At 53.6% G+C, this 26,736-nt stretch overlaps 2 protein-coding genes across 4 annotated transcripts, besides 6 other annotated features; both read right to left on the bottom strand.

Moving 5' to 3' along the window:
* Positions 28-77: a silencer, noted in NCBI's record as "silent region_10231". NCBI's record gives its function as "represses an Ori minimal core promoter by ATAC-STARR-seq in GM12878 lymphoblastoid cells {active_cell/tissue: GM12878}" and the evidence as "EXISTENCE:reporter gene assay evidence [ECO:0000049][PMID:35858748]".
* Positions 128-457: a silencer, noted in NCBI's record as "silent region_10232". NCBI's record gives its function as "represses an Ori minimal core promoter by ATAC-STARR-seq in GM12878 lymphoblastoid cells {active_cell/tissue: GM12878}" and the evidence as "EXISTENCE:reporter gene assay evidence [ECO:0000049][PMID:35858748]".
* Positions 659-26,733, bottom strand: PRKACA (protein kinase cAMP-activated catalytic subunit alpha). Of its 3 annotated transcripts, none has more exons than NM_002730.4 (10): positions 26,473-26,733; positions 16,319-16,380; positions 15,731-15,859; positions 11,787-11,885; positions 9,797-9,879; positions 6,735-6,861; positions 6,550-6,645; positions 6,332-6,454; positions 2,599-2,763; positions 659-2,208 (listed from the first exon to the last, which is right to left on the bottom strand). In NM_002730.4, exons 1-10 carry the CDS (start codon positions 26,516-26,518, stop codon positions 2,083-2,085), a joined length of 1,056 nt encoding a protein of 351 aa, NP_002721.1. In that variant the 5' UTR covers positions 26,519-26,733; the 3' UTR covers positions 659-2,082. The 3 variants fall into 3 exon arrangements, with proteins under 3 accessions (NP_002721.1, NP_997401.1, NP_001291278.1); NM_207518.3 differs by lacking the exon at positions 26,473-26,733 and adding an exon at positions 23,105-23,162; NM_001304349.2 differs by lacking the exon at positions 26,473-26,733 and adding an exon at positions 16,682-17,361.
* Positions 3,615-3,815: a silencer, noted in NCBI's record as "peak3379 fragment used in MPRA reporter construct". NCBI's record gives its function as "represses an SCP1 promoter by STARR-seq MPRAs in K562 erythroleukemia cells {active_cell/tissue: K562}" and the evidence as "EXISTENCE:reporter gene assay evidence [ECO:0000049][PMID:32103011]".
* Positions 16,968-17,262: a silencer, noted in NCBI's record as "tiled region #14201; K562 Repressive non-DNase unmatched - State 23:Low". NCBI's record gives its function as "represses a minimal TATA promoter and a strong SV40 promoter by Sharpr-MPRA in K562 cells {active_cell/tissue: K562}" and the evidence as "EXISTENCE:reporter gene assay evidence [ECO:0000049][PMID:27701403]".
* Positions 21,295-21,447, bottom strand: SMIM46 (small integral membrane protein 46). Its single transcript, NM_001414411.1, has one exon. The coding sequence runs from the start codon at positions 21,445-21,447 to the stop codon at positions 21,295-21,297; it is 153 nt and encodes a 50-aa protein (NP_001401340.1).
* Positions 21,902-22,589: an enhancer, noted in NCBI's record as "H3K27ac-H3K4me1 hESC enhancer chr19:14223743-14224430 (GRCh37/hg19 assembly coordinates)". NCBI's record gives its function as "activates a minimal SCP1, AML or CMV promoter by ChIP-STARR-seq in primed H9 embryonic stem cells {active_cell/tissue: H9 hESC(primed)}" and the evidence as "EXISTENCE:reporter gene assay evidence [ECO:0000049][PMID:30033119]".
* Positions 26,314-26,383: a silencer, noted in NCBI's record as "silent region_10233". NCBI's record gives its function as "represses an Ori minimal core promoter by ATAC-STARR-seq in GM12878 lymphoblastoid cells {active_cell/tissue: GM12878}" and the evidence as "EXISTENCE:reporter gene assay evidence [ECO:0000049][PMID:35858748]".

Raw genomic sequence — 26,736 nt, forward strand, 5'->3', positions numbered from 1 at the left:
GGGCGGGGGAAAGCGGCGGGCGGGGGAGGGGGAGGGGAGTGCCGGGGGGAGTGGAGAGGGGGCGGGCAGGGCGGGCGGGCGGCGCTCGGCCGCCCTCCAGCCATTGGGCGCGGGACCCAGACGTCCCCGGCGCCCAGCCCCCCTCTCCACGCCTCTCCAGCGCGCTCCGCTCTCGGGACCGCACTTACCGGGAACTCGCCGCCCGCGGGCCGGGGCTGCCGCGCTCGCAGGGTGCTGCGGGGACCCTCCTGCTGCCGCCGCCCCCGCGTCCCTCAGGCGCGCCTGGCCCGGCGCTGAGGATGCGGGAAGGGGGGCGCGCACCCTCTCCCCCTTCTACTCCCCCTGCCAGGGCCGCCCCCGCCGCCGCTCGGCCTCCTGGCGCGCCAGCCCCAGCGCCTCCCTAGAGCGCCCTCTCGGTCCCGGGCTGGACGCCGAGGGGGCGCGCCGCAGATTTGGGGACCCCGAATCTGGGGTCAAAGGGCAGTTTGACGCTCGTTTCTCCTGCGGGGCCGAAGGAGTGCCGGAATTTCAGCTAAACCCTGGTTACAAGGACTTCAAGCCAGGACCTGATCGGCCTGCACGCTGGGGTCCGAAATTCCCTTTCCAACCCCCTGGGGGTGTGTGGGTGGGTGATCGAAGTCGAGAACACCAGCGACACTTTTTTTTTAAACAAAACTTTATTGGTAATAGTTTTCAAATATGTTTACAACAGCACACTGTTCAAGAGGAAGTCTCGTCCTTCGCAGCACACAGGTTGAATCGCCCCCGCACCCACCCGGGGCCCCACCCCAGGCCTGAGAACTCCTCCTGGGATGGGGAGAAGTTATGAGAGGGGGAAATACGGGGATGAATGGGGTGGCTCCCCAGCGGCTCCCCACTTTTCTATTACGAGAGAAAAAAGCACAAATGAGAAAGTGGGGGAGAGGTGATGGACAGCTGACAGCTAAGCTGGAGGAGGGGCGCCCAGGATGGGGGAGGCGGAAGCTGGTGGGTGAGTAAAACAGGCAGCCCCTCCCCAGCAGCTCTAGCCTTGAACCCCGGGCCGTGGCTTGGGGGGACTTGGCCTCTTCTGTTCCCTTTTGCAGGGATGCCCTCCCCACTCAGCTGAGGGAAGGCTGGACGTTAAAATCTAGCGGAGAATAAAATTAAGGAGTTGGGGGGAAACGCTGCTGGGAGGAAAGACTTGGGCTTGGGGCTCCCCCTCTGTCTTTTTGGGGGATGACTCCTCTTTGGCAGGGAGAGGGGCAGCTGCTTTGTCTGGCTTTCAAAGCCCAAGGGTGAAGACAGGTCTGTTGGGGAAAAAGAGAGCGGAGGCTTCCTAAAGGGGCCTAGACCCTCGCAGGATTGGCAGAGAGGATTCCCCGGGGAGGGGCCCAGGGGAGATTAGCAGCGGGGAGGTTCAAACCCCAGCGCCTCCCTTTCCAAAGTCAGTCTGCTTCTCTTTAAAATGGATTTGAGGAATGGGGGGACATGGGAGGGGTGGGAGTAGAGGAAGGAGGGAGGGAGGCACTGGTGGAACTTAAATAAGATTTTAAATTGTTGTTTTTTTAAAAAAATTCTAGCAAGCAACCCACTGAACATGTCACTAAAAATCTCTCCTTCCCAGGCAGGATTACTCCGAAAGGAAGGTTGGCGCTTCGTTCATTTGCCCTTAGCAAGTGGGGCCTGTGGTTGGGTGGGATGGGGGTGTGGGTGGGGGCTGGAGTTAAGCGTGAGCCCCTCTTTCCATACCCTGTCCCTGGATACACCAGCAAGACCTGGTCTGACTGGAGTTGAGAAACTCGTTTAAAACAGGCAGAAGTGGGCTGGGAGGGCTGAGGGGCTGGGGGGCTGTGGGGAAAGAGGAAGGGAAAAGTGGGAGAGGGGGCAGGAGGGTGAAGGGGATGAGGGGGAGCAGCTGGTGTTTCTGTCCCTCTGATTATCTGGGCTTCCTGCTCCCCCTAACCCTGGAGGGTGGGGTGGGGGTGAAATTAGATGCAAGGAACTCTGGGGCCCTCTGGCTGTTCAATCCAACCCTCCCACCCCCCCGACCAAAAAAAAGAAAAAAGAAAAAAGAAAACCCATGGGGGCACAGGCATGCCCCTAAAACTCAGAAAACTCCTTGCCACACTTCTCATTGATGGAGACCCGGATTTCTTCTTCCTCATAGTCGTCAAAGTTACTCGTATCCCCAGGGCCTTTAAACTTTGGTATGAAGGGAGCTTCCACCTGGAGAGGGATCAAGAATCACCCAGACCTCAGCATTCAACATAATCATTATTACAACAATAAATGCGAATGGCCTAACATTCAAGAGATATTTACTCTGACTCAGGCCTGTGCTTACCATTAGGTTATGGATTCCTCTTAACAGCCCGAAACTCTTAATGTAGCAACTCATCAAAGGGGAAATTACTTCCCAGAGAGAGGCATCTGTTGCACAAGGTCATGGAATGGCCAAATGACCCCAGAATCCCATTTCTAGACCCCACTGCTCTAAGCTCTCTACTCTAGGTTGCTCCTGAACCTGTGTTCTCTTCTCTATTTCTCTATTGGCTGTCCTCCCTGACTCTTGGCCTGCTCCCAAACCCTCAGCAGGCTTAAGGAGGGGAGGCCCACCTTCCTCTGGTAGATGGCAATCCAGTCAGTTGTGGCAAACCACTTGTGGTTCTTGATATCGTTGACCCCATTCTTGAGGTTCCCAAAGCGCTTGGTGAGATCTACCTGCAGGAGGTTCCGCAGCAGGTCCTTCAAGTCAGAGCTGAAGTGGGAAGGGAAGCGCACCTGGAGGAAGGGGTACAAGGACAGGGTGGGAAGCTGGTCTGGAACTTGGGAAGCCCATGATGCTTCTTTCTCCATCCAACGGTCCTACTGGGTGTGGGCCTCCAAAGCAGAGTGCCTGCCAGCATCTTGTAAAACAGCTCCTTGAGCCTACCCTACAGTTTCCAATTTAGGAAGTCTGATACTGTGGCCTGAGAATCTGCATTTCTTTAAAAACTTTAAAAATTCAAGAGTTAGTTATTTTAAGAAGTTTTTGTAGAGACAGGGTCTCACTACGTTGCCCAGGCTGGTCTTGAACTTCTAGGCTCAAGCGATCCTCCTGCTTTGGCCTCCCAAAGTGCTAGGATTATAGGCGTGAGCCACCACACCCAGCAAGAATCTGCATTTCTTTTTTTGAAAAAAAAAAAAAAAAAAAAAAAAAAATAGCCTCACTCTGTAGCCCAGGCTGGAGTGCAGTGGTGCGATCTGGGCTCACTGCAACCTCCGCCTCCTGGGTTCAAGGAATTCTCCTGTCTCAGCCTCCTGAGTAGCTGGGATTACAGGCTCACGCCAAGACACCTGGCTAATTTTTGTATTTTTAGTAGAGACGGGGTTTCACCATATTGGTCAGGCTGGTCTTGAACTCTTGACCTTAGGTGATCCACCTGCCTTGGCCTCCCAAAGTGTTGGGATTACAGGTGTGAGCCACCGTGCCTGGCCCAAGAATCTGCATTTCTAACAAATTCCCCAGCAATGGTGCTGCTGGAAAGGGGTCCCTTTTAAGAACCATTGCTCTAAGGCAAGTGCTATGATGATTTCCATTTCAGAGAAGGGGAAACTGAGGCTTGGGTTAAACAGCTCTTCCTAGGTCACATTGAGGTGTGTGATGGGGCAATTCCATCTCAGGTCTACTGGACTCTAGAACTTGCATTCTCAGCTGCTGCTGCTGCTGCTTAAGGCATCTCTGCTGGGGTCTGGAGACTTCTGAAATATTCTTGCTTATGACAAACTTTTTCTCTCCTCTCTTTCTGCATAGCTAAGGCTCTTCCGTTCTTTAAAGCCCAGCTCAACTCTTCTTGAAAGTTTTCCCCAAACCCTCTGAGCCCACGCCTTGTATGCAAGTCATCACTGGAGTTATAGTTGCAAGAAACGACTTCTTGTTCCTGCTGTGCCTCTTACACGCTGTGTGACCTTGGCCATGGCCCTTAACCTCTCTGGGCCTGCGCATGCCTCTCAGATGTGGGGCAGATATGCCAGGGCTGCACGAGGGAGATAATACCACTGACGGTGCGGGGGAACTAGAAAATGCTACAAAGAAGGGAGTCATGTGCATCTTCTCCTGTGGGATCTTCTGTGTTTTTTTCTTTCTTTTTTTTCCCACTCTGGGACATTTTTTTTTCTTTTTTTCTTTTTTTTTTTTGAGATGGAGTCTTGCTCTGTTGCCCAGGCTGGAGTGCAGTGGCACAATCTCAGCTCACTGCAACCTCTGCCTCCCGGTTTCAAGTGATTCTCCTGCCTCAGACTCCTGAGTAGCTGGGATTACAGGTGTGTGCCACCATATCCGGCTAATTTTTGTATTTTTAGTAGAGACGGGGTTTCACCATGTTGGTCAGGCTGGTCTTAAACTCCTGACCTCGTGATCCGCCCGCCTCGGCCTCCCAAAGTGCTGGGATTACAGGCGTGAGCCACCACACCCGGCCAACTCTGGGCCATTTTCTTGGCAGTTTCTTTTGGTCCGGTGGCAGATGCCTCATCTTTCCCTTTTTTTGAGACAGAGTCTTGCTCTGTCACCCAGGCTGAAGTGCAGTGGCGCAATCTCGGCTCACTACAACCTCTGTCTCCCGGGTTCAAGCAGTTCTCTGCCTCAGCCTCCCGAGTAGCTGGGATTACAGGCACCCGCCACCACGCCCAGCTAATTTTTGTATTTTTAGTAGAGACAGGGTTTCACCATGTTAGCCAGGCTGGTCTTGAACTCCTGACCTCGTGATCCACCTGCCTTGGCCTCCCAAAATGCTGGGATTATAGGTGTGAGCCACCGCGCCTGGCCTTCATCTTTCTCTTTTAGTGATGCTATGTGTCCAGCTGGGGCACCCCACTTGCCTGAATTTTTTTAAAAGACAGGGTCTGGCTCTGTGACCCAGGCTAGACTGCAGTGATGCAATCACAGCTCACAGCTCACTTCTGGGCTCAAGCGATCCTCCTGCCTCACCCTCCCGATGAGCTGGGAACACAGGGGTGCACCATCACGCCCAGCTAATTTTTAGTTTTTTTTTTTTTTTTTTTTTTTTGAGACAGAGTCCTGCCCTGTTGCCCAGGCTGGAGTACAATGGTGTGATCTTGGCTCACTGCAACCTCCGCCTCCTGGGTTCAAGTGATTCTCCTGCCTCAGCCTCCCAAGTAGCTGGGATTACAGGCGCCCACCACTATACCCAGCTAATTTTTTTTGTGTGTGTTTTTAGTAGAGACGGAGTTTCACCATGTTAGTCAGGCTGGTCTCGAACTCCCGACCTCAGGTGATCTGCCCGCCTTGGCTTCCCACAGTGCTGGGATTACAGGTGTAAGCCACCGCGCCCGGCCAGTTTGTTTTTTTTTTTTTTTTTTTAGAGATGGGGTCTGGCTATGTTGCCCAGGCTGGTCTGGAACTCCTGGCCTCAAGCCTCCACTTCCCAAGGTGCTGGCATTACAGGTGTGAGCCATTGTACCCAGCCCCAAAGTTTCAAAGCCAGTCGGTGGCAGAGCTGGGACTGGGGCCCAGGCTGAGCCTGAGGGTGCTCCCACCACAGTGTCATGACTCCGGGCCAACCAAAAGCTCCTGTGTAGGAGATGCTGGACCAAGTCGGGGGATGGTCGGGTCTTCCCAGCAAGGTGGTTGAGCTGAGGGCAGAGGTGGGGTCCCCAACCTCTCTCCGGCCATCAGTGCCTACAATGATTGCCTACGGTGATTACCTACTCACCAAAGTGTGATCTTGGCCAAGACACATCCCTTTTCCCAGCCTGTTTCCTCACCTCTCCTACAGAGGGTGCCACTATCTCAGGGTGTGACTGATGGGGATTCTGGGGCCTGGTGGATGGTGGGCACTTTGCACCTGTCATAGATGTGAGCTGAGATGGCTTCACCACCCCTCATCTGAACCCTCAGAGTTAGGCAAGTCTGGGTTTGGGAGAGGAAGCATGGGCTATAAATGCTAAGTGAGGGCAATCCTGGGTGAGGCTATGGACAGCACCTGGGAACAGGAACCAAATACATTCGTTTTTCTGCCTTGGAATTTGCGAAAACTCACACTAACTGGGATGAGGAGCGAAAAGGAGGGTCGTCTGGCAGGGCGGTTTGTGTTCTGTGGCCAAGATGTTCCCGTGAGGCTCGGGATTTTGGAAGCCCATGGGATTCTGGAACCGCGGGGTTGGGGCTGGACAGCAAGGGGGCTTGAGGTGTTGGCCTCAGTGTGGCCGGCGCGTCCAGCTTCACCACCTGGCCTGACTTAAGGAACTTCTAGATTATTCTGACAACAAGCAGGGCTCCCCAGGGAATAGGATGGGTGAGCAGGGAACGGTCTGTTTCTTCCAGGGCTGTGTCCCCACATCCGGACCTCACCTTCCCAGAGACGATCTTCTCATAGATCTGGATGGGCTGGTCTGCGAAGAAGGGCGGGTAGCCAGCGGCCATTTCATAGATAAGAACCCCCAGGGCCCACCAGTCCACGGCCTTGTTGTAGCCCTGGAGCAAGATGGGGGGGCACAGGGTGAGGAGGAGGCGAGAGCAGGAGAGCAGAGCCGGCCTCAGGGGAAGGGGAGGGCTGGGGAGGCTCCTACTTTGCTCAGGATAATCTCAGGGGCCAGGTACTCAGGGGTGCCGCACAAGGTCCAAGTGCGGCCCTTCACGCGCTTGGCGAAACCGAAGTCTGTCACCTGTGGGCACAAGAACAGGCAGTTGGCAGGGAGGAAGGGTCCAGGCCACGGCTTCCCCAGGGCTGCCCCTCGCCCGGCCTGGTGGGCACCTGAATGTAGCCCTGCTGGTCAATGAGCAGATTCTCCGGCTTCAGGTCCCTGTAGATGAGATCCAGCGAGTGCAGATACTCAAAGGTCAGGACGATCTGGGCCGCGTAGAAACGGGCATGGGGCTCACTGATGGGGACAAATGGGGAGGTGAACGTCAGTGGTCATGCCCCAAAATGGTCCAGCAGGTGGCCCTGCAGAGCCTACCCCAGAGGAAGACACCTCCAGTCCAGCCGTCAGAAACGCAAGGCACCTGATTCTTAGATAGCCCGACATGGGAAACAGCCTGTGGGTCCATCCACAGGAAAATGGAATCACAGACTGAGCTATAGTCATACAATGGAATTCCACTCACCACCACCACCGCCAACAGGACAGCCCATGCATCCACTCAACAATGTGGCTGCATTTCAAACTGATTATGTTAAGCAAAAGAAGACACAAAAGAACATGAATGATTCCATTTATATCATGTCCACGCCCAGACAAAACAAAGGCACGGTGTTTGAAGTCAGAAAGGACAACTGCCTTTGGTGGGGAGGTGACGTGTCAAGAGAGGGATTCGGCCCGGTGCGGTGGCTCACCCCTGTAATCCCAGCATTTTGGGGGGTCGAGGTGGGAAGATCGCTTGAGCCCAGGAGTTCGAGACCAGCCTGGGCAATATAGGCAAGACCTCACCTCTGTATGTATGTAGATATGTGTGTGTGTGTGTATATATATATATATATTTTTTTTTGATTAATTTATTTTTTTTAAGACAGTCTCGCTCTCTTGCCCAGGCTGGAGTGCAATGGCATAATCTCGGCTCACTGCAACCTTTGCCTCCTGGAAACAAGTGATTCTCTTGCCTCAGCCTCCTGAGTAGCTGGGATTACAGGTGTGCACCACCACGCCCGGCTAATTTTTATATTTTTAGTAGAGACGGGGTTTCACCATGTTGGTCAGGCTGGTCTCGAACTCCTGACCTTGTGATTCGCCCGCCTCGGCCTCCCAAAGTGCTGGGATTACAGGCGTGAGCCATGGCACCCGGCCTCCACCTCTGTATGTTATTGGAAAAAAAAAAAAAAAAAAAAGGGATTCAAGGGAATTTTCTTAGGTGATAGAAAAGTTCCATATACTGTTTTGGGTGGAGGTTAGGTAGCTATATACAACTGTCAAAACTTGTAGCATGGAACATTGAAGAACTGTGCATTTTGTTGTATGTAAAGTGAATCTATAGTTATCTATCTAAAATACAACTACAAGGCCAGCGCGGTGGCCCATGCCTGTAATCCCAGCATCTTGAGAGGCCAAGGCGGGGGGGGCGGATCACCTGAGGTCAGGAGTTCGAGACCAGCCTGGCCAACATGGTGAAACCCCATCTCTACTAAAAATACAAAAATTAGCCAGGCAAGGGGGCATGCACCTGTAGTCCCAGCTACTTGGGAGGCTGAGACAAGAGAATCACTTGAACCCGGGAGGCAGAGTTTGCATGGAGCCGAGATCGTGCCACTGCACTCCAGCCTGGGTGACAAGAGTGAAACTCTGTCTCAAAAAATAAAATCAAATAAAACTACGTATGTAAACTTATAAGTTAATAAGACAAATTTATAAGTTAAAAATTTTTTTTTTCTTTCAGCAGGGTCTGACTGGGTTACAACCCAGTCTGGACTGCAGCAGCGTGATCACGGCTTATGCAGTCTTTTTTTTTTTTTGCATATGTTGAACCAGCCTTGCATCCTAGGGATGAAGGTGGGCTCATGCAGTCTTGACCTCCCAGACTCAGGTGATCTTCCCACCTCAGCCTCCCCAGGAGCTGGGACTACAGGAATGTGCCACCACACCTGACTTTTTTTTTTTTTTTTTGTATTTTTTTGTAGAGATGGGGTCTTGCTATGTAAGGCTGGTCTCAAATTCCTGGGCTCTAGCAATCTGCCCACCTTGGCCTCCCCAAGTGGGATTATAGGGCATGAGCCACAGTACCCAGCCTGTATCTTAAACTTACAAATTTCTGTATATAGATTTATTTTATGTATAAAAATATATATTAAAATCTACACATATAAAACTGTCCACCTATATAAAATAAAATAATAGTATAATTTTTATTTTATTTTTTTGAGACGGAGTCTCGCTCTGTCACCCAGGCTGGAAGTGCAGTGGCGCGATCTCGGCTCACTGCAAACTCCGCCTCCCGGGTTCACGCCATTCTGCCTCAGCCTCCCGAGTAGCTGGGACTATAGGCGCCCGCCATCACACCCGGCTAATTTTTTTGTATTTTTTTAGTAGAGACGGGGTTTCACCATGTTAACCAGGATGGTCTTGATCTCCTGACCTCGTGATCCGCCCGCCTCGGCCTCCCAAAGTTCTAGGATTACAGGCACGAGCCACTGCGCCCAGCCAATTTTTTTTTTTTAAAAGAGACAAAACCTCACTATGCAGCCCAGGCTGGTCTCAAATTCTTGAGCTCAAATGATCTTCTCACCTCAGCCTCAGGACTAGTGGGACTACAGATGCATGCCACCTTTTGGGGCTCAAAAAATGCACAAAATCAACAACTTCAATTTTTTTTTTTGAGACGGCATGTCACTCTCTCACCCAGGCTGGAGTACAGTGGTGTGATCTTGGCTCACTGCAACCTCTGTCTCCTGGGTTCAAGTGATTCTCCTGCCTCAGCCTCCCAAGTAGCTGGGATTACAGGTGCCCACCACCATGCCCAGCTCAGTTTTGTATTTTTAGTGGAGACAGGGTTTTGCCATGTTGGCCAGGCTGGTCTCAAACTCCTGACCTCAGGTGATCTGCCCACCTTGGCCTCCCAAAGTGCTGGGATTACTGGTGAGAACCACCGTGCCTGGCAGCAACTTCAGTTTGGACACCTAAGTTGCCCTGTTTGCTCTGTTTTGTTTTGTGGTGGTTGAAATATCACATATTCCTCAGCAGAGGGGAAACAGAAACCCACAGGGTCTGGGAGACCACCTGCATGTTGAAGTATGCTGGACTCCTCTGCATTCCCAGGGGGCTTGGTCGTGCACTGCCACCTGTGGACACCCTGACAGCCTGATGTGATGGGGGGTGGCCCGCTTACCTGAACCTTCCGATCCGCCGTAGGTGTGAGAACATCTCCCCGCCGGGCACGTACTCCATGACCATGTATAAGTTTGAGTTGTCCTGTGGGAAGCAGTGGCTGGTCAAGGGCCCACCCCTGAGACTTGGACCCGATCTGAAGGCCTTGGGGGCCTCCCCGGCTGGTGTTCAAACATTAAATGACAACAGCGATCCTGGCTCCCTGTAGGAATCATGTTCTACAGGGGCGACCCTTATCCTGCTGTTAATGGGTGAAAGTGAGGGCTGGCTCAGAGGTATGTCAGGACCTGGTTAGCCTGCCTTGGCTGGAGAGAGAACTCTGTAGTACCTTGCTCTGGGAGCTTGAGTAAGGCTCTGAGGCCACAGTTTTGTCATCTGTAAAATGGGATCATGATAGGCTGCAGAATTAGTGGGGCCCAGAATAAAAAAGATGGCCCCTGGTTAAAAAATTATTACAGAGGGTCGGGTGTGGTGGCTCATGCCTGTATAATCCCAGTACTTTGGGAGGCCAAGGTGGGTGGATCACTTGAGCCTAGGAGTTTGAGACCAGCCTGGGCAACATAGTGAGACCCCGTCTCTGCAAAAATACAAAAATTAGCTGGGCATCATGGCGTGCACCTGTAGTCTCATACTCAGGAGACTGAGGTGGGAGGATTGCTTGAGCCTGGGAGGCAAAGGTTGTGAGCTGTAATTGCGCCACTGCACTCCAGCCTGGGCAACAGGGTAAGACCTTATCTTAAACAAAACAAAACAAAATGGCCGGGCACGGCTCACACCTGCAATCCCAGCACTTTGGGAGGTCGAGGCAGGCAGATCACCTGAGGTCAGGAGTTCAAGACCAGCCTGACCAACATGGGGAAACCCTGTCTCTACTAAAAAATACAAAATTAGCCAGATGTGATGGCACATGCCTGTAATCCCAGCTACTCGGGAGGCTGAGGCAGAAGAATTGCTTGAACCCAGGAGTCAGAGGTTGTGGTGAGCTGAGATCGCATCATTGCACTCCAGCCTGGGCAACAACAGCCAAACTCTGTCTCAATAAAAAAAATAAAAATTAGGCTTGGCACAGTGGCTCATGCCTGTAATCCCAGCACTTTGGGAGGCCAAGGCAGGCAGATCACTTGAGGTCAGGAGTTCAAGACCAGCCTGAGCAACATGGCAAAATCCTGTCTCTACTAAAAATACAAACATAAGCTGGGCATGGTGGTGGGCACCTGTAATCCCCGCTACTCAGGAGGCTGAGGCAGGAGAATTGCTTGAACCCAGGAGGCAGAGGTTGTAGTGAGCCAAGATTGCGCCACTGCTCTCCAGCCTGAGCAACAGAGTGAGACTCTGTCTCAACAAAAAAAAATTATTACGGATCTCAAGACAGCAGCAGCAGCAAAGCGTTAAACCAGGTGTGGGGTCCCTCGGAGAACAGGCCCTTGTGCTTCTCTGGGTCAAACGTCCATGAAGCTGGCCCTGAGTGGCCTTTCCTGTTTCTCATGACCACAGCTTTGGATGGCACCCAAAACGGCTCCCAAAGGGCGCTCAAGACGTGCCTGGAACTGTCATGACAACCCCACCAGGCTGGAACTGGTATGATCCCCATTTTACCATGAGAAAGCTGAGGCTTGGGGAGATAAGTCTCTTGCCCGGGGCCACACATCAAGAAGTACTGAACTGGGAAATGAACCCCGGCTGCCTGGGGCAGAGTTTGTGCTCCTGGGTCAGGCTCTTACCATAAACCAGGTGCTGCTTTTGAGGGATGTTACTGAGGTTGGGTGACTCACCAAGGGTATCGAACTACAAACTGGCTGGACCAGGAACTGAACTTGGGTCTACCAGAGTCCCAGCCTGACTCCTGTCCCCTGATCTCCCTCCTCCAGGGATCTTGTTCTTCCACAAAAGAGAGCAGCCACTGATTGTCCTCAGCTCCGACCCCAGCCCTGGGGGCCAGAAGGCTGGGACCCAATGCAGTGACCCCCCGCCCTTGGCCACTGGGACCCCACCTTGAAGGAGAACTCGAGTTTGACGAGGAACGGAAAGTTGACAGCTTGCAGGATGCGCTTTTCATTCAGGGTGTGTTCGATCTGTTTCAGTTTCACCACCTGGGAAGGGAAGGAGGGGAGGGCAGAAAGGAGGGGGAGGTGAGAGGGGCCTCATTTCCCCTAATGCCTGGAACTAGGGATGCCGGAGCCAGGCCGGTTCCTTCAGCCAGAATCATTTGTGTGCCTGTGGCCTGTCGGGCCCTTAGCTGATGCTGAGGACACAGCATCAGGGAGGCTAGGGGCTGCTTGTCCTTGCACGGCACTAAGTCCAGGGCAAAGAATACATGGGTTACCCCCACAGAGGTCAGAGCCGTGGTGGAGGGTATCTTGGGGTTGTGGAGAAGCAGCCCCCAAGAAGCCCATGTAAAGTACCTGGCGTGGTCTGGGGAAGGGGGAATCAGACAGCGCTTTCTGGAGGAAGGGGCAGCTGAACTGAAATTGAAAAGACAGGCAGGAGAAGCCCAAGAGGTGGGGGGTTTAGGACCTGCCTTACCCTTGTCTAGAACACTCCACACAGCAACCTGAACCTCAGGCTAACAGCTCCTCAGCCATCAGCTGTCCCCTAATAGCAGATGCCATGAGCAGGCACCTGGCACCCAGTCTCTCACTGAATCAGGATAGAAGCCCTAGAGGCCCATGCTGGGAGTACGCCAGTTTGGAAGACCAGACACAGAGGGGAGGTGACTTGTCCAAGGTCACACAGCTGGCTGATGTCAGGCTGGTGTGTAACATGTGGCCAGCCTGGTCCCTCAGTCAGCTGTCAACTGCTTTGCTCACATAGCTGTGTCCTCAGAGTCTATACCTGCCCTACCCAGTTCAGTCCCCATTAGCCACAGGGGGATGCTGGGCCCTTGAAATATGGCTGGTCGGATGGGGAGCCAAATTCAAAAATTTTAAGTATCTAAAATATAAATTAAAAAACTGACACCAGCTGGGCATGGTGGCTCACGCCCGTAATCCCAGCACTTTGGGAGGCCCAGGCAGGTAAATCGCTTGAGCCCAGGAGTTTGAGACTAGCCTGGGCAATGTAGCGAGACCCCATCTCTACAAACAACAACAAGGACAACAAAAGCAATTAGCTGGGCATGGCACGACTATGGTCCCAGCAGCTCCAGAGGCTGAGGTGGGAGGATCATTTGAGCCCAACTGCACTTCAGCCTGGGCAACAGAGCAAGACCCTGTCTCAAAAACAAAACAACCAGGCCGGGTACGGTGGCTCACGCCTGTAATCCCAGCACTTTGAGAGGCCGAGGCAGGTGGATCACGAGGTCAGGAGATCGAGACCATCCTGGCTAACATGGTGAAACCCCGTCTCTACTAAAAACACAAAAAATTAGCCGGGTGTGGTGGCGGGCGCCTGTAGTCCCTGCTACTCGGGAGGCTGAGGCAGGAGAATGGCATGAACCCGGGAGGTGGAGCTGGCAGTGAGCTGAGATCACACCACTGCAGTCCAGCCTGGGTGGCAGAGCGAGACTCCGTCTCAAAAAAAAAAAAAAAAAAACAACAACCAGCCAGGCCAAAATGGTGAAACCCTGTCTCTACTAAAAATATTTAAAAACTGGCCAGGTGTGGTGGCTCACGCCTGTAATCCCAGCACTTTGGGAGGCCGAGGCCGGTGGATTACAAGGTCAGGAGATGGAGACCATCCTGGCTAACACGGTGAAACCCCATCTCTACTAAAAATACAAAAAATTAGCCAGGCGTGGTGGTGGGCGCCTGTAGTCCCAGCTACTCAGGAGGCTGAGGCAGAAGAATGGCGTGAACCCGGGAGGCAGAGGTTGCAGTGAGCCAAGATCGTGCCACTGCACTCCAGCCTGAGCGACAGAGCGAGACTCCATCTCAAAAAAAAAAAAAAAAAAAATTAAAAAATTAGCTGGGCGTGGTAGCCGGCGCCTGTAATTCCAGCTACTCAGGAGGCTGGAGCACAAGAATCGCTTGAAACCCGGAGGCAGAGGTTGTAGTGAGCTGAGATCATGCCATTGCACTCCAGCCTGGGCAACAAGAGCGAAACTCCATCTCAAAAACAAAACAAAACAAAACAAAACAAAAATTAAACTCTTGATGCAGGTACTGGTGACTTTCAGGCATGGTTGGAACAACTTGGGCATGTGAATCTGCTTTTTCAACTTCCCTGCTTTTTCTTATCTTTCCAGGAAAAATTTACCATCAGAGTTGAGAACTGTTGTAAGCATACAATAGACACTGGATTTTAAAGATACTTCAGTACAGAAAAAAAGGAAATATTTCCGAAGTCATGGAGGACTGGGAAAAAAACAAAAGGAATGTAAAATGTTTCATTAATGATATTTTCACATTGATAATATATGGAAAGGGTAATACTGTAGATATACTGGCTTAATTAAAACATATCATTAGGCCAGGTGTGGTGGCTCACATCTGTAATCCCAGCACTTTGGAAGGCTGAGGCGGGCGGATTACCTGAGGTCAGGAGTTCGAGACCAACCTGACCAACATGGTGAAACCCCAAGTCTACTAAAAATACAAAAGTTAGCTGGGCGTGGTGGTGGCACCCATAATCCCAGCTACTTGGGAAGCTGAGGCAGGAGAATCACTTGAACCTGGGAGGTGGAGGTTGCAGTGAGCTGAGATCACGCCACTGCAGTCCAGCCTGGGCGACAAGAGTGAGACTCTGTCTCAAAAAAAAAAAAACATAAAAAAAAGCCCCAAACATGTCATTAAAATGAATTTCATGAATGACACCTGTTTCTTTCATTTTCTCTTTTAATTACAAACTTTGGGTGTTTTTTTAGAGATGGGGTCTGGCTGTGTTGTCGAGGCTGGAGTTGAACTCCTGGGTTCAAGTGATCCTCCCACCTCAGCCTGTCTAGTAGCTGGGACTACAGGCGTGCGCCACCGTGCTTGGCTGTTTTTACTGTTTATGATGGAGCAAACAGAAAATTTAAAATTGCTTCTGTGGCTCAGGTTACATTTCTGCTAGTTACATTGCTGCTTTATAGCAGTGCCTGGTATAAAGTCCGATCACAAAAATATTTACGGGAAGAAAGTGCACATAAACACCACTTCCCCCAAGAGTGCTCTTGTTCTCCTCCTGTTGGGCTGGTGTCTGACCCTGTGTCACAGTGCCTGGCTTTGAATCCATGGCCGGCCTGGAGAGGGAGCTTTGGGAAGGCGGCACAGGGCCCTTCTGACCCCTGGGGCTGGCACATTATGGGGGCTCGGGGAATAGTGGGTGAGCCTGGCATGGTGGCTCATGCCTGTAATCCCTGTGCTTTGGGAGGCTGAAGTAGGAGATCACTTGAGGCCAGGAGTTCAAGACCAGCCTGGGCAACACAGCAAGACCCCCTGTCTAAAACAAAAAACAAACAAACAACAAAAAAAAATTAGCCAGGCATGGTAGTGTGCGCTTGTAGTCCCAGCTACTCAGGAGGATCTCTTGAGCTCAGGAGTTTGAGGCTACAGTGAGCTATGATCACGTCACTGCACTTTCCTGCTTGGGCAACAGAGCAGGATCCTGTCCCCCACAAAAAAACCAAGCGGCCAGGCGCGGTGGCTCACGCCTGTAATCCCAGCACTTTGGGAGGCTGAGGCAGGTGTATCACCTGAGGTCAGGAATTCGAAACCATCCTGGCCAACATGGCGAAAACCCATCTCTACTAAAAATACAAAAATTAGCTGGGTGTGGTGGCAGGCGCCTGTAATCCCAGCTACTCGGGAGGCTGAGGCAGGAGAATCGCTTGAACTAGGGAGGTGGAGGTTGCAGTGAGCCGAGATCACGCCACTGTACTCCAGCCTGAGCGACAGAGCGAGACTCTGAATCAAAAAAAAGCAAGTGAGTGAACGGGTGGATAGGGCACTCTAAGGAGTGGGCACAGTCCAGGCAAAGGCCTGACAGGCAGGCCCTGAGCGAGGACAGGCCACCTCACCTTCTGTTTGTCGAGGATCTTCATGGCATAGTGGTTCCCGGTCTCCTTGTGTTTCACCAGCATCACCCGCCCGAAGGAGCCCGTGCCGAGGGTCTTGATTCGTTCAAACTGATCCAAGTGGGCTGTGTTCTGTGGGCAGAGGGGTCGGTAGGCTCAGGGCACGCCCTCCCCGCGGCCTGCTTGGCTAAGGTCTGGGGCATCCCCTCTGCCACCGGCAGAGGGGGCCCCGGGGAGCACGTGGGGTCAGCGGGGTGAGGACAGGGGGCGGAAAATCAAGATGGCAGAGGGCACATTCCTTAAGGCGGGTGGCAGGGGCCAGATCCGGCCCTGGCCTGGGGCCTGGAAGCTGCTGGCAGCTGTGCTGGGGGCAGGGGCGGGCCGTTGGGAGGGGTGGTGGGATGGGGGTGCCTGGCATTGGGCAGTCAGGTGTCTCCACACAGGAGCCCCCATGGGCACCTAGGGAGCAAATGGGGAGGGTCTGAAGCCTTCTATGGGGTTTCTGAAATTCTAGCTGTGTTGCTGGGACACAGCCAGGGGCTGGGGGTTAGCAGCTCACCCCTCCCTGGGCTCTGCACCCGGCAGCCTTACCTGAGCGGGACTTTCCCATTTTTTAAGAAAATCTTCTTTGGCTTTGGCTAAGAATTCTTTCACTGAAAGGGAGAGAGGGGAGAGTTATACAGAGACGCCCGTCTCACCGGGGTGGGTTCAGGTGATTTCTGGGGAGATACTTGGTGGAAAGTGGGGTGCAGTTCCAACCCAGAGCCTGACCTTTTTCTGGTGCCTCTGGGGCCTTGGCTGGGCCGTGGCCTGGGCCTCCCTTGCTACAGAGAGGTGGGATCCAGCTGCCACTCCATCCAAAGTGGGGTACAGAGAGTCTCAGGGGTCACTCGCAGGGGAACGGAGGGAGGTGCCCAGGCAGACCAGCCCACCCCCACTCGCCCCAGTTCTGACCGACATTCCATGGCCAGGGCCGACGCCAGCCGAGGTATTTATAGCCTTGGGATTTGGCTGTTCCTCTGGCCCCTTCTCTGGGGAGGCCGGGCCTGGGATGGAGGCCTCGGGGGCTCGGGTAGCAGGTGCCCTTGGGGGGCTCAGCTGTCACCTTGGCCCCCAGCTGGCCCTGTTCCTCTCCGTGGCAATCGCAAGGGCATTGCTCCAGAGCTGGTTCAAGGGAAGTCTCGCCCGATGCCCACTCCTCGGCCCCATGGTATCCCAAGGTGAACATCACCGCCTGGCTAATGTTGAAACTTCCCCGGCAGACCCTGTGCCGGCTGCTGTCTACACTGTCTCATCTGACTCACTCGGCAACCTGCCTTGTATCCATTGTCTCCACTTAACAACCCAGGAAACAGGCTTGAAAACAGTCATTCTCGTCTCTGCTGAGACACAGCCCAGCAAAGTGGCTAAGGGCCAGGACTTGGGGTCAAGATCCAGTTCAGAGCCCAGCCTGGTCTCTGATGAACTCTGTGACTTTGGGTAACTGATCTCACCTCTCTAGGCCTCAGTTTTCCTCATCTGTAAAGTGGGGTGGTTTTGAGGAATGAATGAGTTCATCTTGACAAAGGGAGTTGAACAGTGGCCCCGTGTGATGATAGTGCCAGATAAATGTCAGCTATTATTATTTTTTATTTATCTATCTATTGACTGATTGATTGATTGATTGATTGAGACGGAGTCTCCCTCTGTCGCCCAGGCTGGAATGCAGTGGCGCAATCTCCGCTCACTGCAAGCTCCGCCTCCCGTGCTCACGCCATTCTCCTGCCTCAGCCTCCTGAGTAGCTGGGACTACAGACGCCTGCCACCACGCCCAGAGAATTTTTTGTATTTTTTTTAGTGGAGACGGGGTTTCACCGTGTTAGCCAGGATGGTCTCGATCTCCTGACCTCGTGATCCACCCGCCTCGGCCTCCCAAAGTGCTGGGATTACAGGCGTGAGCCACCATGCCCGGCCAATTTATTTTTTTTAATTATTATTATTTTTTTTTTTGAGATGGAGTCCCACTTTGTTGCCCAGGCTGGAGTGCAGTGGCACAATCTCAGCTCACTGCAACCTCCGCCTCCCAGGTTCAGATGATTCTCCTGCCTCAGCCTCCTGAGTAGCTGGGATTACAGACACCTGCCACCACGCCCAGCTAATTTTGGTATGTTTAGTAGAGACAGGGTTTTGCCATGTTGGCTAGGCTGGTCTCGAACTCCTGACCTCAGGTGATCTGCCCACCTTGGCCTCCCAAAGTGCTGGGATTACAGGCATGAGCCACCGTGCCCAGCCTATTATTTTCTAAATTGAGGTATAAAATATGGGGAGAGAGGCTGGGTGAGGTGGCTGACGTCTGTAATCCCAGCACTCTGGGAGGCCAAGGTGGGTGGATCACAAGGTCAGGAGTTCGAGACCAGCCTGGCCAACATGGCGAAACCCCATCTCTACTAAAAATAAAAAAATGAGGCCAGGCACGGTGGGTCACACCTATAATCCCAGCACTTTGGGAGGCCAAGGCGGGTAGATCACTTGAGGTCAGGAGTTCAAGACCAGCGTGGTCAACATGGTAAAACCCCGTTTCTACTAAAAGTACAAAAAAATCAGCCGGGCATGGTGGCAGGAGAATCGCTTCGACCCGGGAGGCAGAAGTTGCAGTGAGCTGAGATCATGCCATTGCACTCCAGCCTAGGCGACGGGGCGAGACTCTGTCTCCAAAACAAAACAAAAAAATTAGCCAGGCGTGGTGGTGATGTGTGCCTGTAATCCTAGCTACCTGGGAGGCTGAGGCAGGAGAATTGCTTGAATCCGGGAGACTGAGGTTGCAGTGAGCCGAGATTGCACCACTGCACTCCAGCCTGGGTGACAGAGCAAGACTCGTCTAAGAAAAAAAAAAGAAAAAAGAAAAGAAAATATGGGGAGCGATCGGGCATGGTGGCTCACGTCTATAATCCCAGCACTTTGGGAGGCCGAGGCAGGCAGATCACTTGAGGTCAGGAGTTTGAAACCAGCCTGGCCAACATGGTGAAACCCCGTCTCTACTAAAAATACAAAAATTAGCTGGGCACGGTGGCGCATGCCTGTAATCCCAGCTATTTGGGAGGCTGGGGCAGGAAAATCTCTTGAACTTGGGAGGCAGAGGTTACAGTGAGCTGAGATCATGCCACTGCACTCCAGCCTAGGCGACAGAGTGAGACTCTGTCTCAAAAAAAAAAAAAAAAAAAAAAAAAAAAATATATATATATATATATATATATATATATATATACACACACACACACACACACATAGGGAGAGCCGGGAACGGTGGCTCATGCCTGTAATCCCAGTGCTTTAGAAGGCCGAGGTTGGAGGATCGCTTGAGGCCTGGAATTAGAGACCAGCCTTGGCAACATAGCAAGACCCAATCTCTACAAAAAATAAAACAATTAAAAAATTAGCTGAGCATAGTGGCCCATGCCCGCAGTTTCAGCTAAGCAGGAGGCTGAGGCAGGAAGATTGCTTAAAGCCCAGGAGATTGAGGTTGCAGTGAGCTATGATCACACCACTACACTCCAGCCTGAGCAAGAGTGAGACTCTTTCTCAAAAAAATAATAATACTCTGGGAGGCCGAGTTGGGGGGATTGCTTGAATACAGGAATTCGAGACCAGCCTGGACAACATCAAAACCCTCTACAAAAAATAAAAACATTAGCCAGGTGTGGTGGTATGCACCTGTAGTCCCAGCTACTCAGGAGGCAGAGGTGGGAGGATTGTTCAAGCCCGGGACATAGAGCCTGCAGTGAGCCGTGACTGAGCCATTACACTGCAGGCTGGGTGACAGAGTGAGGCCCTGTCTCAAAAAAAAAAGTAATAATAAAAAAACCCCAAAAACAAATATAGGAGATACACTGAGTGCTCAAATCTTAAATGCGCAGCCTGACAGATTCTTGCATTATGGACTTGTCCTTTTAACCACCACCTAGGGCTACAAGGGACCAGCCCCTTGCTGAGTATTTTCTATGCTTCGTTCTCACCCTGTGGGGTGGGAGCTGCTGTTATTCCCACTGTACAGAGGAGAAGACTGATCAGGTCTGAGGTCACTTGCCTGCCCCCACATCCCATGAGATTAACTACTTCACTGCCAACTCAGCCATTGGTTTCAGTGCTGAGTCCAGTGCACCAGGGTGGCCAATGTGGACAGAGCTGCCTTCAACCCCCTGATGTTCCTGGGTTTGCTGCCACCGAGGGGCCCTGTACACTTGCCCTTTGGCATTGCTGGTTATCTGCCTGCCAGTAATCCCACATGGCCTTGTGGGGAGCCACCCCCACTACCTGTCTCCAGAGCTTTCCCTCAGCATTCAGAGAGAAGAGCCCTCATGGAGCTAGAAAGTGGTAGATGGTGGCTGGGTGCAGTGGCTCACGCCTGTAATCCCAGCACTTTGGGAGGCTGAGACAGGCAGATCACCTGAGGTTGGGAGTTTGAGACCAGCCTGACCAACATGGAGAAACCCTGTCTCTACTAAAAATACAAAATTAGCTGGGCGTGGTGGCACATGCCTGTAATCCCAGCTACTCAGGAGGCTGAGGCAGGAGAATTGCTTGAACCCGGGAGGCAGAGGTTGCAGTGGGCTCAGATCGCGCCATTGCACTCCAGCCTGGACAACAAGAGTGAAACTCTGTCTCAAAAAAAAAAAAAAGAAAGTGGTAGATGGCAGATGGAGAGAGACCGTGGCCAAGAAGGCCCCACAATAAATGACCAGGCGGAGAGGGGATAGGCAATGAATGGCCAGGAGTCCTAGATGGGTGCCTGGCTGGGCCACCAACTAGCCCAGGGGCCTGAGCCTGGGGGTCACACCAAATCCAACACTTTCACTAGCAGAACCTTTGTTTGAGTGTTTTATTTTGTTTTGAGATGGGGTCTTGCTATGTTGCCCAGGCTGGTCTCCAACTTCTGGCCTCAATGGATTCCCCCACCTTAGTCTCCCAAAGTGCTGGGATTACGGGCATGAGCCACTGTGCCTGGCTTCAGTCATAGAACCTTTGTGACAGAAAACATCTTCCTTGGAAACCTCCAAATAATCCACACAGAATTCAGCAGTGGGTGGGGAGGGTGGAGGGTGCCCTCTTGGGATTCTACCTTCACCCACACAAGAAGGCAGAGAGGTGCCAGGCTTGAAGGGAATCCAAAAGGTCTGGTCCGTTTTCCCTTTGCTCTTAGCAAAAAGGAAAGAATTGCTGAATCCTGCACCTCCCCGACTCGCTGAGCTCCCAGCCCCTGGCTGTCCGCTGGTGCCCCACAGAGTCGCTCCACAGGGTGCCTTGCTGTTAGCATGGCCCTTCTCTGGCCTCTCAAAGGACCAGAGCGCCCAGGCTCTGTCCCCTCTGGTGCCACTAGCCCTGTTAGCTTGTCAGATTTGGGGATGGGGCATGGGGGAGGCCAGTGCCAGGAGGAGCAGGCAGAGAGAGGGATGATGGGGGGGAGGGGCAGGTAACCTCAATCAAGAGGCCCCACACTCACCTCTGCTTCCTGTCTCTTCCAGGAAAGGGTAGAATAAAGGGTGGGTGGGATGGGGTGATCTGGCGGCCTTCTGCCCCCTGGCCAGGGAGGCTCAGGGTGCTGGCTGTGGCTTAGGCCCCCGGAAGGTGCGGTGCAGGTAGCCCAGGAAACGTACAGCCAGGTGGGCCCAGAGGAGCAGCTGCAGCCACAGCTGGAAGGTGGTCTCCAAGTCCCCACCCTGGCTGCTGCCTGATCCCAGATCCATCCCCAGCCCCCTTGGGCTCTCCCTGGAATCTTCCTTTTGCTGAGAAACCAGGAAAACGCAGAGCCTCTAAGTCAGCTTCCTTGGGATGGCCTCAGGGGACCAGGGAGGAGGAGCTGGTTGCCACAGAAGCTTTTAAAGGTACCTGCTCCAAGCTAGCCAAGGTTTGCAGAGGGCTCCCTTGGCAGGAGGCAATGGGAAGATTCTCCCGAGGGTGTCCCTCTGGCTGGCCTGCGTGCCCCAGGGCGGGGCGATAAAACTAACTTCCCTTTCCACGGACTTCACTGCTCCCAGGACGCCAGGCCCTGCCTTCCTCAGTGGGCACTGGACTGTGCAGAGGACAGCGCCTGATGTGCCCAGAGCAGTGCCCACTGGGCAGAGGGGAAAGAGTTAAGGTTCAGGATCAGGCAACAGCCAGAGACTCCTTAGGGGCTAAAGAGGCCCCAGAGCTCCCTTAATTCGCTGAAAGAACAGCTGGAGAGAAAGGCTTGGGGCGGGGGGCGACAAGAGCCACCCTGCCTCCTCCCCTGAACTCCCTTTCAATGTGGAACCCCCAAATCCTGCTATCCTGAGAGAGAAAATGGGTATATCTGACTCTTTTGTTTTGCTCCTATGCGGGGGTGGAGAGGGGAAAGGCATCCCGGGATGTCCTTGGCCTCTCTCAAACCTTGCCCTGTGCTTGGCTCTACTCTCGGCCATGAAAGTCCAAACCGGAAACGAGCGGCTAAACCCAGGGGTGGGGGAGGGGGAGGCAGCCTTGACCATCTTCCTCCTTCTTTCCAGATCCCAAAAGAAGCAGAGGGTCAGTGGCAGCCTCTTTGAGTGTGCCCGGCATCCAGGACCCCTGCTAGCAACAGGAAGTGGCAGAGGATGGTAACCCAGCCAGCTGCTGGCCTGTACAGCCTGCCGCCCTGCCCACATCTCCCACACGGGGGGTGCCAGCTCTCACTCTGGTCCAGATTCCATTTGGGTTCATAGGGAAAACTCCTTGACACCCCTTGAAAAGCCAGGACCACAGCAGAAAGCAGAAATCTAGAAACTCGCCCTGGGAATGGGGAATTGCAACAGCAGAATATCAATTTGGGCAAGGGGCTTGGGGTCTCTCTCGGAAGGAGCCCAGCCACAGAACCCCCTTCCTCCGGACAACAATCTCAGACCTTCTGCCCTTTTGAAATCTGGCTGTCCTGGGAATTCTGGGGCAGGAATGCCCAGCCTGGGCTGGGCCCCCTACTCGAGGCTGGCTGATTCCTCCAGTGGAGCCTGGATTCCCTGCTCTGGGCTTACCTAAATGACACAACTCTGAGCTGGACCCCAACACTGGCTGGAACGACCCCCATTCTGAGCTGGACCCCAACACTGGGATGGCTCATCCTACAGTCTGAGCTGAACCCCAACACTGGGATGGACCACTCCACCACCCCTCTCTGAGCTGGCCCCCTGCCGGGTGGACCATCCTCCCTTGTCTGAACTGGGCCACCGATCCCCTCTCTCTTCCCCAGGCCGCACAGCCCGGGGCTGTACAGGAGGCGTTTCCAGGGCCAGCCAGGGGTTCACATCCTTCTTCTCTTCGCCTGTGCCCCAGACCCCGCTGCAGCCCCTCCCTGACTTAAGGGGCAGAGTGTGCCTAGGAAGTTGCTATAGTAACAGGACTCAGCCTCACCATCGCTGGAGTTGGAAGCCATCACTCAGTCCTGTTCTCAGGGCACCGGCACTACGGTGGCTGGGAAGGCTCATGAGACCTGCCGTGTCTGTTCGGCTGTCTGTCCCCAGAACCCTGCCTGCAGGGGGAGCTAGGGAGCCGTGGGGTGGGAGCAGGAAGAGAAACCCAACCCAGAGGCCACTGGGTGTGGAGGAGGGACAGATAGGGCCCTCCGAGTTTCTGTAGACGCGGTTGCGCTAAGGGGAGAGCTGCCTTGATAAGACCTCTTGGGCACCCATACAACTGCCAAGGCACAGAAGGTGTTTGGCCGTCTTAGGCATCCATAGGATGTTACACGGCACTAGTTCTTCCCATCTAGGGTCTTCTTGGGGGGTGCTTTTCTCTCTTTGCCAGGATCTGCTTGTGTCCTGGGGATCGGGGGCTCCCTTTTACTAGCTCTGCCCCTTCCCCTGTGGGCCAGCTCCCAGGGGTATCTTCAGCCAGTGCCAGCCACGACCTGAGCCCCACTTGGCTGTCTGACCTGGGCGCCTGCCCCCTGGGGCCGCTGCTCCCTCTCCATTCTTCCAACTTGGCCAGAGCCTGGGCCTTAGTCTTTTTTCTTGGCCCTCTCAGCTCTCCCAATGGCTTTGCCATCTTTGGGTGTAGATTCCCCCAACTCCACTCCAGGGTTCATTCTGGATCCCTGGCCTCTTGGGAGGAGGCGGACTCTGTCCTGCCCTGGCACAGAGATGGTACCACAGGGGACTGCAGGATGCTTAACTGGTGCCTCCCAAGGCCTGGGCATTTTCCTGACCCCAGTCGGGCCGGCGTCTGGCAGATGAAATCCAGGTGCCCCCTGCAGGCTGGCCTGGCTACTGCCCCTGCCCCTGCCCCACCCTTCTAAGAGGGCAAATTTTGTCTAACTCCATCCTCTCAGAATCAGAGCGCCTCAAAGCAAAGAGGGACTTCCTTCCTCATCTTATTTCCTTCTCTGGGAGCCTCTGGGAGGAAGTACAGCTTCGGGCGTTTCTCAACGTGTGACATAGTCCCATTGGCAGAACATGACATGATTTTCGGGATGTTTCATTTATCTAGTTACACTGTATTTAATGCGTATCAGAGAAAATATAACTGGCATGGCAATCCCATGATTTCATTTATATTATTGTTTAGAATGAGCTCCAAGTTTACATCTGAACACAAGTGAGTAAAACTTTTATTATTTTAAATTAAGAAAATATGATAGAGTAAAAATCTGGGAGGCTGCTGAAAAATGTCAAAGTCGGGGAATTCTGGGGTCCAAGAAGTTTGCTGGTAGATGGATCTGGATGTGAATCCTGCCTCTGTGACATCATCTATGTCATGGATGTCATTTCTACCAGAGGGCTCCTTTGGAAAATTTGGATAACAGCCCGTTATGAAAGTCACCAGAGTAGGTATCTCTATCCGCCTGGCCATTTAGCCTGTGGCACAGCCTAGATGCCCAATAAATAGTAGCTCTATTTTACCATGATCATTCATTCCTGGGTGTCTGACCTGTGCTCTGAGAGAATCAGTGGTTCCTTCCAGAGCCTCTGATCTTTTTCTTGGGATCCTTTTTCTTGTGTGGCTTTCCACCCCCCACCACATGTGTCTGATAGCCTTGAAGGTTTTCCAGGACTGTCATCTCCCCAACTTTCAACTGAGCTACCGCAATATATAGCTGCCTGCCTCTACCTTCCACCTCCCAGCTGGCCTCACCTGCTGGGGGCCTGACTCCTCCCCCCCCGGCCAAGTCCCCTCCAAGCTCATGCCCAGACCTTTTTTGGACACTACCCACCTGCTCCTCTGTCATCAGGCACTCAGCTACAGGCATTTCCCTCCCCAGCCCCCACCCATTGGTGACATGTCAGGCCTCTTCATGATCGCTCTGTGACTCTGAGTTCTGCTATTTGAATCCGTATGGGAATAAAGTTCCCTGGCTTTCATACCTTTCTGGGAGGGGGCATTCAGGAAACTCAGATGCTGGGGTTTGAGACCAAAAACTGGCCTTCCTTTTCGACCAATAGTTCCGACTATTTCTGGGTAAGTGGACAGGGGATCCCAGCTGCCTTCCAGCTTTCAGACTGGAGTGACAACAATTTAAGAGCTGTAAAAATTGGGAATGGGGTTCAAGACCATTTCTGATGGTATTTCCAGATAGAGAATCTCTTTCTCTGGCTGGCTGGAAAAGACCAACCTAATGTGTGGGCAAGTGGGTGAAACAGGTCTCTCTCTGGCTGAGCCCTGGGAATGATCAGAATCACTAGACGTCAAAGCAAATCACTAGACGTCACCCATTACTCTCTTTGACTGCCTCCTCCTCCCCAGTGCTCTTTCTGACCATCTCAGTTAGAACCGAATGAACCTCGCTAAACCCAGACACTTTTCATCCCAAGCCAGGAGTGGTGGAAGAAGCCCCAGGGACTGGGTGAATGACGGAGCCTCAGTTGTGAAACGACCATTTATTGAGGGGCCCTCCATGGAGCCTAGAGCTCACTGCAAGACAGGAAATGAGAGGGGGCTCTGCCACCACCCCCTTACCCCAACGCAGGAAAGAGGATGCAATGAATCCCAACAAGACCAGCTCAAACTTGGCTTTGGAAGCACTGAAGCAATTCTCTACGTTCATAAACAGTCTGCTACCCCAGCCAGGGACAGACGCTTGCTTGGAGGACGGAGCACAAGCAGAGCAGCAGAATGACAGAGTGACAGGATGAGAGAGGCAGAGGGACCCAGAAAGATCCTGTCCCCCATGCCAAGTGACACAGAAGAAAAAAATAATGCTGGAGGTGGCTCTGGGAAATGTTCAGGGGGCAGGATGGGTTTGGAAGGGGGGGCTGTGCTAAGGTGAAGAGGGAAAGGGCAGGAGAAAGATGGCGGGGGCTGGAGGGGGGAGGGGTGTGGTCAGCAAGTGGCCAAGGTCCCTGCGCGGTGGAGGCAGACAGACCTCATCGCATTCCCAAACTGGTAGAAACCTGGGTCGGGGTCAGGCAGAGGATCCCATAGGTGAGAGAGGTGAGTGAGGAAGTGGGGGGATTAGAATCTGGGAAGAGGGGCCAGGAAAGGAGGGGGTAGGCTGGTGACAGGGGCCCATGTGGGGCCCCAGCGGTCATACGTGCCATGGTTGGCAGTGACAGCTGGGGGGGAGCACGGTCTTTGCAGCATGGGGCGGCCCTAGGGGAAGGGGACCCCTACAGGGGGTACTCTGCGGGCCCGCGGGCCCCAGCCTTGGACAGGCCGGGGCAAGGGGCGCTGGGGGGTAGGCAGAGAGGATGAGGGGCCCCGTAGGGGGAGGGGCCAGGCGATGATGGACAAGGCCAGGGCTGGCAGCGCAGGGCCAAGATCGGGGTCACAGCCCGGGCACTCACCGCTCTCCTGCTCGCTGCCCTTCTTGGCGGCGGCGGCGTTGCCCATCGCGGCGGCGGCGGCCGGGGCCGGTCCCGGAGCTGCGGCGCGGCGGGTGCTGGCTGCGGCCGGCGGCCCCGGAGCGCGCTGGGCGGCGGCGGCGGCGGCCCTCGGGCTGGCTGCGCTAGCTGCGGCGCCGCGACCCCCGCCCAGCCCCTGCTTCCCGCGTCTCTCCGCGCCCGCCCGCCCGGGAACCTCAGCCCAAGATCTCTGCCGCTGTCTGTGAC

The sequence above is a fragment of the Homo sapiens genome, chromosome 19, assembly GCF_000001405.40.
Source record: "Homo sapiens chromosome 19, GRCh38.p14 Primary Assembly".
Classification (NCBI taxonomy): Eukaryota; Metazoa; Chordata; class Mammalia; order Primates; family Hominidae; genus Homo; species Homo sapiens.